The sequence below is a fragment of the Homo sapiens genome, chromosome 1, assembly GCF_000001405.40.
Source record: "Homo sapiens chromosome 1, GRCh38.p14 Primary Assembly".
NCBI lineage: Eukaryota > Metazoa > Chordata > Mammalia > Primates > Hominidae > Homo > Homo sapiens.
The window spans coordinates 173,739,214-173,756,705 of record NC_000001.11 but is presented as its reverse complement, the minus strand read 5'-3'; the positions used below and the strand labels follow the sequence as shown (position 1 = coordinate 173,756,705).

At 35.9% G+C, this 17,492-nt stretch overlaps 1 protein-coding gene and 1 pseudogene across 8 annotated transcripts in view; both read right to left on the bottom strand.

The window, feature by feature from the left end:
- The window catches only part of KLHL20 (kelch like family member 20), a 71,712-nt gene that overhangs the window by 29,987 nt on the left and 24,233 nt on the right, over positions 1-17,492 (bottom strand). For all 8 annotated transcript variants that reach the window (XM_017001052.2, XM_017001053.2, XM_005245093.5 and 5 more), the window contains 3 exons: positions 4,784-4,942; positions 3,399-3,493; positions 668-783 (listed from right to left, as the gene is read on the bottom strand). In XM_017001052.2, the coding sequence (XP_016856541.1) occupies positions 668-783; positions 3,399-3,493; positions 4,784-4,942 (370 nt within the window). The remainder of the gene's footprint in view (positions 1-667; positions 784-3,398; positions 3,494-4,783; positions 4,943-17,492) is intronic.
- Positions 14,719-15,064, bottom strand: RPS27P7 (ribosomal protein S27 pseudogene 7; annotated as a pseudogene).

Sequence of the window (17,492 nt, the reverse complement as noted above, 5' to 3'; positions counted from 1 at the left end):
AATGGAGAAATTATAGATGGATATGCATAGAATGGAGAAATAAATTATAATTGTTTAATGTTTTTTCACAATTCCATGTGATTATGGGATGAGCTGCACATTGATATATAAATTAATGCATGTGACTCATTTCAACAAAACATCTACTGCACGACATTTTTATTTTTTATTTTTTGAGACAGGATCTTGTTCTGTTCCCCAGGCTGGAGTACAGTGGTGCAATCACAGCTCACTGCAGCCTTGACCTCCTAGGCTCAAGCCATCCTCCTGTCTCAGCCTCCCAAGTAGCTGGGACTACAGACATGCACTACCACACTCAGCCAATTGTTTTTCTTATTTTTTGTAAAGATGGGGCCTCCCTATATTGCCCAGGCTGGTCTCAAACGCCTGGCCTCCAGAAAGCTGTATAGGCATGAGCCACTGTGACCAGCCAACATTTTTGGATTTATATAAAAATAGATATTAAAGGTGTTGAATGAGAAAAAAGAATAGAGCACTCTTTTGGAGTATATCAGTGTGGAATCATGGGTTATGAGTCAAGCTATATGCTGACTTATTATTTGTGTCTTATGACAGTAAATATCATAATTGTCCAAAGGATTTTTCAAATGACAGTTTCTCACCTGGGAAAATACTCAATTTACTAACAGTATATTAAGATCCAAACCTGCAAAGAGTACTTCCCCACATCGGATAGGTTTCCGTGGTCTCGTCCTTGGTCCTTGCATTAGTGGTCGTTCTTGCGGCAATAGGAGGTAGTTTTTAGCCTCATCTACCAAGTCTCTGTAGAAAAAATTCTGCCTTTATTCCAAATATCTAAATTACATTGTTAGTTAAGTCCCAATGTAGTTTAGGAATATATAGGTTGGCAAAGGGAAGCAAGCATAAATCAAACCAAATCATGAATGCCAGCCAATATTAAAATTGGCACAAACATGAAACCAATAATGCCAGTCAAACTGAGTTGTGAATTGATTGGTATTTCCATCATGACTCATGTCTCACTGCAAATTTAGCCTAAAGCTCAACATGCTTACAGCCAACAATAACTTATAGAAAAGTAAAAATTACAATTTGATTACCACACTGCAGAGTTACTACTTTTTAATAAATTTTATTAGATTCTGCAAGATATTAGCAAGGTAGCACATCAGCCAGGGCAATAGTTATTTGCTAGATTAAAGTAATAAAACTGGGTCAAAAATCGGATTGCTGAAAAGAAACACTGTACTGCCACAAATTTGCTATCTGGTAACATATGAATGGTTTACTCTCAACAAGTCTACCGAGACATATTTCCTGTCTTGTTAAGACACTTTAAGAGAAGAGTCTAGTAATTACACATGTAATGACTTTGCAGTGGCTCACGCCTGTAATCCCAGCACTTTGGGAGGCTGAGGGGCGGTGGATCATGAGGTCAAGAGATTGAGACCATCCTGGCCAATATGGTGAAACCCCGTCTCTACTAAAAATACAAAAAGTAGCTGGGTGTGGTGGTACGCGCCTGTAGTCCCAGCTACTCAGGAGGCTGAAGCAGGAGAATCGGTTGAACTTGGGAGGCAGAGGTTGCAGTGAGTCGAGATTGCACCACTGCACTCCAGCCTGGCAACAGAGCGAGACTCCGTCTCAAAAAAAAAAAAAAAAAAGACAAAGACTTTGATCTCCTAATAGCTTGTTAGGTCATTTGAGGGTTCCTACAAATAATACTATAGAGCTATAATATTGAGCAAACCAACACAAAATTAATGGTAGTAACAACACTTACAGCTATGTGCTAGTCCTGGTTTTAAGTGCTTAATAGATATAAACTCATTTAATCTTCACAACAGCCTTATGGAATAGGCACTATTATCATCCTCACTTTATAGAGGAAGAAACTGCAGCAAAAAGAAGTTAGGATATCAGGAAGGGTCTTCTTTTAAATATGACTTCATAAGTACTTTTACTTTCTGCATCAGAATCAGTACAATACAATCTGATTTACTTTTAATGGAGGAGGGCATCTATGTATTATTTCTTCAGATTTCAGCATGTATAATGTACATGGTTTTCCTTTTTGCTACTGCAAATATTTAGGAGAATTAATTGCCATTTGTCTGTGTGTTTTTTTTTTTTTTTTTTGAGACTGAGTTTCACTTTTGTTGCCCAGGCTGGAGAGCAATGGTGTGATCTTGGCTCACCGCAACCTCCACCTCCCAGGTTCAAGCAATTCTCCTGCCTCAGCCTCCTGAATAGCTGGGATTACAGGCATGCACCACCATGTCCAGCTAATTTTTGTATTTTTAGTACAGATGCAGTTTCTCCATGTTGAGGCTGGTCTCGAACTCCTGACCTCAGGTGATACACCCACCTCGGCCTCCCAAAGTGCTGGGATTACAGGCGTGAGCCACTGCGCCCGGCCTGTCTGTGTTTTAAATATAGAATACAAAAATCTAGTTTAACTCTAGTCTATGGTAAACTGAAAAATGAAGAATGATTAATATAAAAAAGATACAATAAAATAAAATAGAAACATCTAAAATCCCCTCCAGCCTCTCCTGTTAAAAGAACAGGCTTTAGTTTATAGAAGAAATGCAAGTGAATCTACATGTCCTACCACCATTCTAGAATCAGGGATCATTCTAAATGTCTTTAATCACCAAGGGAGGTTCAAAGGTCAGTGTAGTTTACAAAGTTCTGAGTATGGATTTTCTCTTTCACTTTTATATTTGGGACATGCTGGGGAAAAATGGTTAACAATCCCAGATGATTTCAGATTTGAACCTAAATCTTACAATCTGTCAAATTGGGAATGTAATTTATTACATTTTGTATATACTTTAAAGACAGCCTAGTAAAATAGGTTGCTTTTTTCCCCCCCTTTGAAAAAGTAGTTAAGAGTTTCTTTCGTCAAAAAACCTCTGGAAACTGCTTCACCTAGTTTTAGTGAAAATCTTTCTACAGCTGTTTTAGAAAGTGGCAGATCTTCAACTCTGTCCACAATTTAGAAAGCAAGGCTGATTCTATTCCCCAACCAGACATATGTGATGGAAGGAAAAAATGTTCATTGACAGAGTCAACAGCATTATTTAATTATCTCAAGGAAAAAAAAAATATTAGCAGAGAATTGACTCTTTAAATTCAAGCCTGCATTAAAATCTTGGAAATCTACCTTTTTATTGCCACTTCTACACCAGTAAGCACCACACATAAAAACCTAATGGAATGAAACACTGGAAGTTCAGTTCTCTCTTCTTCTTTTCCTCCTCTTGACTCTAGCCCAGAAGAAAACCTTGTTAAATTAAAGCCCTGGTTTCAGCTCTGCAAAATACAATATTTAGGAAGCAATACAAATAAGGAAATTAGGAAAAAATAGGAATGCTTAGTTGTTGATTTTTCCCATCCAGGGTCACTCATACCTGCATTCTTCATCACTTTTGATGAGGGGATCAGAGCCTACTGTGCCGACCAGGAACTTGGGACTAAGCAAAGGCAAACGAACATGCTGCAGCACCTATGAGAAAATAAACACCATTATTTTAATTAATTAATTTTGAGATAGGTCTTACTCTGTTGCCTAGGCTGGAGTACAGTGGCATGATCGTAGGTCACTGCAGCCTCAATCTCCTGGGCTCAAGTGATGTGCCTACCTCAGCCTCCAGAGTAGCTGCAACTACAAGTGCATGCCACCATGCCCAACAAATTTTTGTATTTTTTTTTTTGTAGAAACGGGGAATCACCACGCTGCCCAGGCTGGTCTCAAACACCTGAGCTCAAGTGATCTGCCTGCCTTATCCTCCCAAGTGCTGGGATTATGGGCTTGTACCACTGCACCCAGCCAATAAACACTATTAAAGGCATGAGCTCTCATCTATAAGCTATTTAAGAGAATACATGACCCATGGTACCCTACTGTGCTTCCAATTGTTTTGGGATCTCACCGAATACCATAAATAAGGAAGGAAGGAAGGCATAACTACTAAAAACGTTCAGCAAGACATTATAAGCTCTTCTATAGCTGGACTCAAATTAATTCACAATCCAGAAGAATATCTTGTTGAATTGCTAAAGACTATAATCACAATAACAAGAATGGGTCTTAAGTGAACTACTGATCACTCAGTGATGACTGATGCATCATGTCTTTACTCTTGAAAGTGTGGTAGTATTTCCAAGTCATATTGAAGGAAAACTGGTAGGATTTCCAAGCTATAGGAAAAGAAGCATCCTTGCTTTCTTTTGTTCATTTTATACAATTTAAGTTTTGAATTGTGCTATCATTCAAAAGTAGAATTGATCCAAAATACGGGGAAAGCAAAGGAGCAAAAAGCCCACATTAATAAGCAACCAAAATGCTTCTAAATACTTATTTCCTTGATTATTTGGAAACAGATGGACTTTCTTACAGACGAATGTGGAGTGATAACTGTTTTATGTTTGCAAGACAAATACGTATTATCTCATCTAGTACTAAGCAGTTTTTTTTTTTTTTGAGATGGAGTCTCGCTCTGTCGCCAGGCTGGAATACAGTGGCACGATCTCGGCTCACTGCAATCTTCGCCTCCTGGTTTCAAGTGATTCTCCTGCCTCACGCTCCCAAGTAGCTGGGACTACAGGCGCCCGCCACAATGCCTAGCTAATTTTTGTATTTTTAGTAGAGACAGGGTTTCACCATGTTGGCCAGGATGGTCTCGATCTCTTGACCTTGTGATCCACCTGCCTTGGCCTCCCAAAGTGCTGGGATTACAGTCATGAGCCACCATGCCCGGTCAGCAGTTTCTTAGAGAAGAATTTCTATCATTACCTGGGGTAATTGAGGACGTCTTTCCTGAATACTGTATTTGACCCAGGCCATCACTGCATTGAACACTTGTTCTTCACTGCGAACGTTTAGCTCATCACTGGATATTATATCAATGAGTTGATTGGCTGGAAGCAACATGAACTCTTCACTCTCCATTACCTGTTCAAAGTTAGGTAAGAAGAAAAAAAAATCCTGTGATCACATTTATTGTCTCAGTGTTTTTCTTCAGGGTTATGGGACAAAGCTGTATTCTACAATGCGCTGAAGTTTCAAACGATACCAGAGGAAAGGAAAAATTTGAAAAGAGAACAAAGGAAGGTACAGAAGACACCATTAAAATTTAGTAAAAATAATCATTTGTGAGTCAAGCAATTTAAGAAAAATGACTTAAAAAATAAAAGATCAAAATAAAAATTTATATTCAAAATAAGACAAATTAACTATATCAAACTATAACTCCAGATATATAAGGCATATAAAAAGTCAGAAAAAGCTTGCAGAAGATTAGTTGCTGAATAGGCAGTGTCTAGGGCAGAAAAACCAAGGGGTCAGTTTCAAAAAAGAATAAGAGTGTCAGCAATTCTGTAAACAAGAATGAATATAATGAGGAGAGTATTAGACCAGTGAAAAAACTCTGACGATCAAACTCTCTAATATATATGCTAGTGAGAATCTACAAACACCAATAATTTATCTTTACCCAAGGCTAGGCAACTGTCAGAATGGAGATGAAACGGCAACAAGGATATTACCTTGTTGTACAGGCCAGCCACCTATTCCAAGGCCTTGTAATTCCATTCATCAGAATGTAGAGTAAAAGGGACAGGGTGCAACGCAGAGGAAAGAAACAGTCACTCCTACCCTTCACGTGGTTTGTTATATTATTACTCACGAGACTGTACTACATGTGATGTCTATTAGTGCAGGCAGTACCTCTAATGAAGTTGATGGATTCTCTTGGGACAGGGTTATAATCATGCTCATCAAAAAGTCAGAATATTTAGCAGAATATGCAATAGGTCATAAAAATAATTTAAATATTTTATTAAGAATGTTTTCCTTAGCCAAGTGTGGTGGCTCATGCCTGTAATCCTAGCAATTTGGGAGGCTGAGGCAGGAGAACTATTTGAGCTCAGGAATTCGAGACCAGCCTGGGCAACATAGTGAGAACTTATTTCTACAAAAATAAAAAATAAAAAAATTAGCTAAGGCTTGGTGTGGTGGCTCATGCCTGTAACCCCAGCACTTTAGGAGGCTGAGGCAGGCAGATCACTTGAGGTCAGGAGTTTGAGACTAGCCTGGCCAACATGGTGAAACCCTGAGGCAGGAGAATCACTTGAACGCGGGAGACAGAGGTTGCAGTAAGCCAAGATTGCGCCATTTCACTTCAGCCTGGGCAACAGAGTGAGGCTCCATCTCAAAAAAAAAAAAAAAGAAAAAGAAAAATTAGCCGGACATGGTGGTGCGTGCCTGTAGTCCCTTCTACTCCAGTGGCTGAGGTGAATGGATCACTTGAGCCCAGGAGGTCAAGGCTGCAGTACGCCGTAGGTGTACCACCATCACAGCACTCTGGCCTGAGAGACAGGTGAGGCCATATCACCAAGAAAATAAATAAATAAATAAATATTCTCGAGTGCATTAGGAAAAAATACAAATCTCAAAACAGTAAAGGGCCATAAGGCCAGTTATATTTATAGCAGAAATAATAATGAATGCTTCAATTTTTATGGCATAAATCTGCAAACCATCTGAGTGAGAGACTTTCTGAGGTTCAGGAAATTAAATAGTTACCCTTTAAATTTTAGCTGAGGTTGCTTAGGTAATTTAGTAATTAGAATGGTTGCATTTTTTTCTCTGTGGTAGGGCGGCTTAGTTTGGCAAGCAAAAATACAAGACATACTTATACTATAAATTACTTGTTTATCTGGAATTTAAATTTAATTGGGTGCCCTGTATTTTATCTGTTAACCTTGTGTTGAGGGACTATAAAGTCCAGCGCTAAATTTGGGGCTTAGCTCTAGTAAGTGCATTGGTCTTCACAGCATGCAAAAGTTTAGTCATGACTGCATCTTGCTTTCCTCTTATTTTTCTCTGTGATTTCTTCACTTAAGTATGGTATTGTGTATCTTTGTGAAGTGCCTAAACATTTTTTTAAATTTCATCAGAGTATAAACCAAATGTTATATAAATATCAATGATCACCAAGTTTGAAGTTTATGAATAATCTACTAAGGTGTTAACTCATTTAATGGAAACGCAAGATGACATGAAGATATGAAAATTTGGGTGAGAAAATATTTGGCACTAAGAGCAGAGAGTAAAAATAATACTTTTGATAGACATGCCTGGCTAAAATGCTACCTCTCCTTTTCCCCCACCAGTAAAACGATATTAATGATATGCCATTTGGGCAGATCTAGCACTAAAGTCTATCCTTGAATCAAATAACCAAGTTAAGAAAATAATGCTTCACAATATCTACTCTTAAATAAGAGTTTAGAGGCGATCTGAACTCTAAGCCCCACACGATTATGGTAATCAGTTTACTTTTAGTTTCTTCAGATGAATGTAGATGCTATTTGAAGAATGAATAAAGCTGAAAACAAACACGAATGACTAAGCAAAGTCATCTGGAATTGTTCTAACAAGTATATGGTGAACTTAATTGTTGAGTTTAGACAATTTAAAAATGTATGTTTATGAGCAGAGCAACACTGTATGAATTAAGCTAGGTCTAATGAAGTAGGAGAAAATTAAATACAGATTTGATTAAGTTCAAAAATAATTTAAATGAGTCACAAATGTTAAGCTCCAAATGACTTTTTTTGCACCTACATGGAGCCATGCTAGTCCGATAAACAAGGGTAAGATTTCCTTACTGGGATTTCAATATGGTATGTATCAGGTTCACTTTGGAGGAAGGATTAGAACTAGAAGGGATTTCAGAACTTTCTCTACTATCAAGAATATTCTTCAGATATTTGTGAATATCTTAGATCTGAAACGCAACTTATAGTTAGAGCAAGACATTAAAAAAAATTTTAAGTGTATAGCTCAATGAGTTCTGATAAATTATATACTCATGTAAACATGACCACAATCAAGATACAGAATATTACCATAATCCAAGAACGTTCTGAAGCAGAGAATTCTTTTTTTTTTCTGATTTTTTAAATTATACTTTAAGTTTTAGGGTACATGTGCACAATGTGCAGGTTAGTTACATATGTATACACATGCCATGTTGGTGTGCTGCACCCAGTGGGGTCCAAAGCCTAATTTAGCATATTGTTTTGGAGCTCCTCAGTGATGGCAAATCTTTATTTTTGGAAAGTGGATTTGGTATTTGAAAACAGTGGGAAGAAATGAAGAGACAAGTCTGTTATCAAGGCATCTAAAGAAGTTAGATTATTTTCAATGAGAAATTAAATGTGAGTATAAGATAATGATTCTATCAACATTAATTAATAATATAAACCACACTTAAGTCATAGTATTTCCCCTTTTATACTTTGTTGGAATTAATTTACTAATAGTTAAGAATTTTTGTATCTAAGATCATGAGAGATACTGATCTGTAGTTTTCTTTTAGTGTCTGTGGTTTCAATCAGGGCAATTCTGGCCTTATAAAATGAGTTGGTAACTTCATTCTCCTTTTCTGAAAGACTTTGCATAGGATTAGTGTTATTTCTTCTTTACATTTTTGATAAATTCACCATCTGGGACTGGCATTTTCTTTGTGAGAAGGTTTTTAAATTATTAATTCAATTTATTTCATAGATATAGGGTTATTCTGTTTTTCTGTTTCTTCTTAGTTTTTGTAATTTGTGTTTTCTTCAGAGAATTTGCCTATTTCATCTCTGAATTTATAGGTAAAATGTTGTTCATAATATTTCCTCATCATCCTTCTTATGTATAAAGAATTTGTAGTGATATCTTCTCTTTCATTTCTGTTACTGGTAACTTGTGTCTTCTTTCCTTTTTTTTCTTGATCAGTATGGAGATGGAGTTTCATCATTTTTTTTTTTTTAAAGAGCTCTTGGTTTTTATTCTAATCTTTATTATTTTCTTCCTTCTACTGTGGGTTTAATTTGCTCTTTTCTAGTTTGTAAAAGTAACCAGTGGAACAAAAATATAAACTTTCCTATATACCAAAAGAAATTAAAATAAAAAGCAAAGAAGATTCCACATAGAAAAAGAAATACAGTAAATATAACTGAATCAGGTACTATTTATAAAAATATGATAGAGTTGAAAACAAACATATCAGTCAGAGCAATAAATGCAAATGGGCTTAAATTGCCTATTTAAAGGAAAGGATTTCAAATCTGCTCATAAAGCAAAACTCAGTTCCACACTAATTCAAGAAAATTACTTAAAACATCATATTTTGAACAGGCTAAAAGTAATGGGAAGAACAAATATATACAGTCAAATGGAAACAATAAGAAAACGAGTTGAAATCCAGATATCAGACAAACTAGAACTTAGACAACAAATGAATTAAATCTGACAAGGGAGAACACTTTACAAAGCTCAAAGTCACAATTTATCATCAAGACATAAAGTTATGATTATGCATAAGGCAACACAGTAACTACCTATAGATGATATAAAGAGAAATAGACACACTGATAATAAGAGACTTTAACACACAGGTCCAAGGACAAAAAAGGAATATAGAAGAGCCAAGCGACATAATCAATAAGGTATATCTTATGCATACATATCAAATACTATATTATGAGAACAGAAACTAGAAAATACACATTTTTCTCAAGCACACATAAAATAGAAAAATTGATCATATATTAGGTTACCAAGAAAGCAAATTTCATAGAGTAGAATTACTGCAAACACTGATCAAAGTGCACTAAAACTAGCAATTAAAAATGAAATTAAAAAACACAAAAAACCCTTCCATCTAGAAATTAAAAAAAACTATTAATAGCTTTTGAGTTACAGAAATATAAACAGAATTTCTATAAAACAATGATAATGAAGCACTAAAGACTAGAATCAATTAAATATATTAAAACTAGTGATCCGAGAAGAATAGCTTTAAATACTTATAGTAGTTAATACAAAAGAATGAAAATAAATTAAGTCTCAACTCAAACAGCTAGAAAAAGAATAAGCCAAAAGAAAGTACAAGCAAGAAGATAATAAAGGTAAAACCAGAATGAAATACAATCAAGCAAAAAGGTAGATCTAATTAATAAGTAAAAAATCCTCTTTGTTTGAAAAAAGTTAAAATGGATTATTAGTTAACTTATTCAGGAAAGAAACATTAAAAACACACATACAAAATCAAAGTATTAAGGGTAAATAACCACTGCTACAGAAATTTAAAAATTAAAGAGATTACTTTGTATACCTCTATACAGATAAATTTGAAAACCTAGATGAAATTGGTAATTTTCTAGGGAAATACAGTTTACCCAAATTGATGCCTGAAAAGAAAGAAAATTTCATAGAAGAAACAGAAAAACTTAACAATAAATTACTTTACAAAAAAGCACGAAGCCTAGATGATTTCAGAGGGAAATTCTATCAAACTTTTACAGACCATAGTCTGCATAGTACATTTGTTTCAGAGCACAGAACATGAAGAAAACTTCCAACTCATTTTCATGAAGTATAATATTCATACTTAACTTGACAAAGACAGTACAAGGAAATTAAAGACTAATATCATTTATGAATATTGATGTAAAAATACTGAATATTAGCGAATAGATTCTAACACCACCATAATCAAAAGGTGTATGCCAATAATTCAAAGATGTTTTCACTTGTAGGATTCCATTAATGTAAGTTACATTAATGGGTTTAAGGAGAAAGTTCATATGATTATCTCCATAAAAACTGAAAAAGTCTTTGACAAAATTCAACACTGCTCCTAATAAAAAGTATTCAAGAGAATAGGAATTGTTGGACATGAATACTTTTTTTTTTTGGAGACAAAGTCTCACTCTGTTGCCCAGGCTGGAGTGCAGTGGCGCAGTCTCAGCTCACTGCAACCTCCGCCTCCTGGGTTCAAGCAAATACTTTCTAAACATGATAAAATATCTATACCTCAATCCTAAAGCCAGTATATTACTTAATGGGAAAACACCAGAGGCATTCCTACTAATGTCAGAAACAAATAAGTATGTACAATATTTCCATTACCATTTAACATTTTACTAGAGTTATCAAGCAACTAGACAAAAGAAAACAATTAGAAGCATGAACAATTGGAAAGGAAGAAATAAAACTACTGATATGCAGGTGATATAATAGGATTCCAAAAAAACTCTAAAGAATCAATGGTAAATGTAACACAAATAATTAAAAAATTCAGTGAGGCAGCTTTCATATACATTAATGATTACCAGTTAGAAGATATAATGGAGGAGAAAAACCTATTTTTGATAGCAACAAAAAATACTAAGAAGTGAATTTAAAAGGAAATGTAGGCTGGGTGGGGTGGCTCACACCTGTAATCTTAGCACTTTGGGAGGCCAAGGAGGGCGGATCATTTGAGGTCAGGCATTCGAGACCAGCCTGGCCAACATGGTGAAACCTTGTCTCTACTAAAAATACAAAAATTAGCCAGGCCTGGTGGTGCACGCCTGTAATCTCAGCTTCCCGGGAAGCTGAGGCAGGAGAATTGCTTGAACGGAGGTTGCAGTGAGTGGAGGTCACGTCATTGCACTCCACCCTGGGTGACACAGCCAGACTCCGTCTCAAAAAAAAAAAAAAAAAAAGAAAAAAGAAATGTATAAAAGTTAGATGAATAAAACCATAAAACGTTCCCAAGAGATACAAAAATACAATTGAAGAAATAAAATCTTGTTATTGGATAGGACAACTCAACATCATAAAATGACTGTTCTTAAGTTTACTTATAAATTAATATGATCCCAATAAATATGCCAACAAGTTATTTTATTGGAACTAGATAAGGTGACATTAAAGTTCATCTGGAAAAATAAATAGCAAGAAAGCTTGGAAAACAATGAAAAACAAAAGAGTTACATGATGGGGAGGGGTTTACTAGTCCTACCGCATACATACTAAAATTCATTATAAAACTTTAGTAATTAAGCCATAATAAATAGAAAACAGTATCATACTGGTATATGGCCTAGAACAGAAGGTCCAAAACCAAGTACATACAGAAATTTAGTGTATAATAAAGATGCTATCTGAAATCAGTGGGGCAAAGAAAGGCTTTTAAATAAACGGTATTTAGACTAGATGGCCATTTGGAAAAAGATAAAATTAGGTCCATATTTCACACCATACACAAAGATAAACTAAGACCATTTACATGCTAGAAAAAATATGTGTAAATTTCTCTGTAACCTGGGTTTGGGGACACCTTTCAAACTCTGCCTCAAAATCCAGATACCATAAAAGAAAAGACTGATACATTTGACTTTAAAAAAACCAAAAACTTTTGTATTATCAAAAATACAATAAGCAAACTTGAAAGACAAATGCAAACTGGAAAAAAATATTTGTGACATGTATCATGGATAAAAGGCTAACACTGTTAATATATAGAGAACTTTAAAAAATTGAAGAAAAAACCAAAAATCTTAATAGCAAAATGGGCAAAATACATTAAAACACAATTCACAAAAATTATACATATGGCCCTTAAAAATAGTAAAGATGTTCAACTTTAGTTATTTTCAGAGAAGTATACATTAAAATGATACTGAAATTCCCTTCTTATCTGTTAAATTAGCAAAAATTCCAAAGGCTGGCAATACAATCTGTTGGTGAGGCTGTGGACAAACATTTATCCTCATATATTACTGGTTAGAATGATTCAATCCCCATGGAAGAGAAATTGGTGATACTTAAATGAAGTTAAACTTAGGCCTTGCAATCCTATTTCTAGGAATTTATTCTAAAGATAAACTTCCAACAATATTGACATGTTCATATAAGATGTTATTCATTGCAGCATTATTTGTGATGGCAAAATATTTAAAGCTACCTAAATGCTCAAACATTGGAGACTGATTGAACCAACAGTGGTACATCCACACAAGGAGTACAATGCAGCTATGAAAAACAAGGACCATCTAAAACAACTAATATGGAATGAATTCCAGAAAATATTAAAAGGCAAGGTGCAACAAAATATATAGCATGCAAGAAAGACATAGAAATAGGAAAACATACATGTATTTAATTTTCCAAAAGGAAACACAAGACGGATAAACCAGAACCTACCATGCATCAAAATAATAAATAGCAACAAAGGACACTAATCTACTGAATAGAATAAGCCATGAGTCCACAGTGCTAATCAATGAATACGGGTTAAGAAAAATTCTTTCTTATAGCAGAATGTAGACAGAAAATGGAGTTTTTTTTTTTTTAAAATCACCACTTTGCAACCATCATAGTAAGTGTTCAGGAATAAAGGAATATGAAAGTAAAGGAGTAAAGGAATATAAAAGGAGTATAGGAGAATTCAGGAGTAAAGGAATATGATATTGGCAATATACTCTCCAATTACCCAGATAAAAATATTCATAGAGCAAGGAAAGAATGACAAGGTAAATGAGGCAAAATGTTAACAACTGGTGAATCTGGACAAAGCGTACATAAAAGTTTTGTCTTATTCCTGTGATTTCCTATAAATTTGAATATTTTTCAAATAAAGTTTAAATAGTATTTTTCCAATATAAGGCTAAAAAAGTGGTATTTTGTTTTGAAATATGTTTCTTTAATTATAGGTGAGGTTGAGCATCCTTTCATGTTTATTTTCCATTTGACCACCTTTTTTTTTTTTTTTACACATTCCTTATTATACCCTATGCTTATTTTTCCATTGTATTTTTCATGTTTTTTTTTCTGATTAAATTTGGATGAGCTCATGGGAATTACCATTTTTCTGTCATGTATGTTCCAAATAGATTTTCTGAGTTTGACATTGATTTTTTAGTTCATGATGCTTTTTATGTTGGAAAGAACAAAAAATTTTAACTTTTATGCAATCAAACCAATCTTTTTATGGTGTCTGGATTGCATCCTGCGTAGATTCTTCTGTAGTACCAAAATGTTTATAATGTTTTAATGTTTCTTAAGGCCAATGGGCCTAATACTATTAATAACTTTTACTTCAGCATATATATATGCTGAAATATACGTGTATATATACATATTTACATATATACACACATGTATATACATACATGTGTACATATGTATATGTACACATATACATACGATATATGCATATATATACACATACGTGTATATACATACACGTATATACACGTATGTGTATATATCTGCACGTATATATACGTATATATCCTTCTTAAAATAATCTCTTCCTTTGCATCTCACAACCCATGCTTGCTCTTTTCTTCTATCCTCTCTAAATATTCCCTGTTACCATTGCCAGTCACTTATCCCTCAATATTGGAAAAATTTTAGGGCTTTTTTCTTCTCTCTCCCTTTCTCAGATGATCTCATTGGTATTGATTTGTTGACCTTGTTTATGGTGCCAAACTGTTCCATTCTCCAGTACACCTGTAGTACAAATTTCCAGAAGTAGGAAGCTGAGTCAAAATAGTGTGTGTAAAAAGTATGTAACTTTGATAGATACCGCCGTAGTTCCTTTCAAAAGGGTTGTACTAATTTATACTCACACTAGCAATGATCTTATTTCCCACAGCCTTGCCAACAGGGTGTACAAAACTTCTGGATATTTGTAATCTGATAGATAAAAAATGTTACTTTGATGTAGTTTTGTGTTTTAGTTATTTTAAACAAGCATATTTCATATGTTTAAGGGGAATCTGAATTTCTTTTCTGTTTATGGCCCATTTTTCTGTTAGGTCATCGGTTTGTGTTATTGACCAACAGAAGCTCTTGACATAAGGAGATTAATGTCGTCTATGATACAAGTTACAATTTTTTTTATCCAAAATGTGTTTATCGAGATGGTTTCCCACTTATCTTGATTCAGAGTGCTTTTAGTGCTGCTTTCATCTGAAGGAACATCCTTCTTGTAAGCCTTGCTTTTCCTCCTGTAGGCTGGCAGAGGACAGTGGAGCAGCCAACACACAAAACTACAGTTTGTGCATGGCTAAAGACCATGGTGATTTTATAGCATCCTGGGCATTCCACATCCATGAAGTAGGAATTGGGGCTCTGAACCAGGCATTTCTTCTTGTGTTTCCTCTTCTCCTCTTCTGGAGAGGGATGAAGGAGATCCTTTGCAAGAGGCATGTTCTTGTGGGAAGGTCATCACCACCAGAAAGGACGATTTACAGATATTTTTCCCCAGCTTGGCTTTGACTTTTGTCTTGTAATTTTTATTTTGCTTTGTTTTACCATGCAGAAAATTTTGAATTGTATGTAGTCAAATCTATCAATTTTATCTTCTGTCTTTTCTGGGTTAGTCAATTAGAAAGACCTTTTTCACTTCAAGATTATAAAGAAATTGCTCCATATCATTGTGTAATATTTTCATGGTTTTATTTTGTATGTTTAAACGTTTGATCCATTGGAGGTCATCCTGGTGGACAGAAGGGTGGTATTAAAGTATAAAATAGAAAATATGTAAAAAATGGCAGATAGGAGGCAGGACTAACTTGCAGCCCCCAATTGGACAGACAGAACAGTGTGTGGAGATTCACACTGTGAACTTTTACTCCAAGAACCACCACAGGAACATACCAGGAAAACTGAAAATAATTCACAGATCCTTTGATAGAAGTGGCTTGCAGCTGCAAAATCTGAAAGCCAAAAAACTGTGAGTGCCCAAAAGTATGAGAAGGGCAAAGCCCACCTCTGAACACACATCCTCACTGGTGAACCTGAAAATCCAGATTATGGGAGAAGGATATAATCTTACCTACAGCTGAAGTGAATTTACTGACATATAAAAGTAGAAGCAACAGTAGGAAAAGCCCTGTAGGCAGTCCTGGTCCCTAGGGAAGCCATTTCTGACTTTATCTCACAGGGGTCCTTGGGGAGAACAGCCAGTGGAACTGGGGAAGGGCCATAGAAAGAAGGAGATTTCCAGGTAAACTGTGTAATAATTTGACTGAGTGCAAATTTTCCTGGGCAGAATCCGGGGGGGCAAATGAGAAGTGCAGATACGACACGGAAGCCAAAGCCACGGCAGACAGGGAGGGGCAAGGCCTGAAAGTCCTGCCTGCTTTCTCGGCGGGGAGAAATCAACTCCAGAAGGAATCTCAAAACCACGCAAATACATGGAAATTAAATAACCTGCTCCTGAAATGATCTTTGGGTCAACAATGAAATCAAGATGAAAATTAAAAAATTCTTTAAACTGACAATAATAGTGATACAACCTATCAAAACCTGTGGGATACAGCAAAAGCGGTGCTAAGAGGAAAGTTCATAGCATTAAATGCCTACATCAAAATTCTGAAAGAGTACAAATAGACAATCTAAGGTAAAACCTCAAGGAACTAGATAAACAAGAACAAACCAAACCCAAACCCAGCAGAAGAAAAGAAATGATAGGCCGGGCATGGTGGCTCACACTTGTAATCCCAGCACTTTGGGAGGCCGAGGCGGGTGGATCACGAGGTCAGGAGATCAAGACCACGGTGAAACCCCATCTTTACTAAAAATACAAAAAATTGGCCGGGCGTGGTGGCAGGTGCCTGTAGTCCCAGCTACTTGGAGAGGCTGAGGCAGGAGAATGGCGTGAACCCAGAAGGCGGAGCTTGCAGTGAGCCGAAATCGCGCCACTGCACTCCAGCCTGGGCAACAGAGCGAGACTCCATCATTAAAAAAAAAAAAAAAGAAAAAAGAAATGATAAAGATCAGAGCAGAACTAAATGAAATAAAACAGAAAAAATAGTACAAAAGAGAAATGAAAGAAAAGCTGGTTCTTTGAAAAGATATACAAAATGGATAGACCATTATCAAGATTAACCAAGAAAAGAAGAGAGAAGATCCAAATAAGCTCAATTAGAAACAAAATGGGGCTGGGCGTGGTGGCTCACGCCTGTAATCCCAACACTTTGGGACGCCAAGGTGGGCAGATCACCTGAGGTCAGGAGTTCGAGACTAGCCTGCCCAACATGGTGAAACCCTGTCTCTACTAAAAATACAAAAAATTAGCTGGGCGTGGTGGCAGGTGCCTGTAATCCCAGCTGAGGCAGAACAATTGCTTGAACCCGGGAGGCAGAGGTTGCAGTGAGCTGAGATTGCACCACTGCACTCCAGCCTGGGCGACAAGTGTGAAACTCCATCTCAAAAAAAAAAAAAAAAAAAAAAGGGAGATATTACAACCGATACCACAGAAATACAAAAGATAACTCAAGGCTACTATGAACATCCTTATGTGCACAAACTAGAAAACCTGGAGGAGATGGATAAGTTCCTGAAAATATACAACCCTCCTAAATTAAACCAGGAAGAAACAGAAACTCTGAACAGACCAATAACAACAGTGAGATTGAAATGACAATAAAAAAAATTGCTAACAAAAAAAAAGTCCAGGACCAGATGGATTCACAGCTGAAGTCTATCAGACATTTAAAGAAGAATTGGGCCAGGCGTGATGGCTCGTGCCTGTAATCCCAGCACTTTGGGAGGCTGAGGTGGCAGATTGCCTGAGCTCAGGAGTTCAAGACCAGTCTGGGCAAAACGGTGAAGCCCCATCTCCACTAACATACAAAAAATTAGCTGGGCGTGGTGGTGGGTGCCT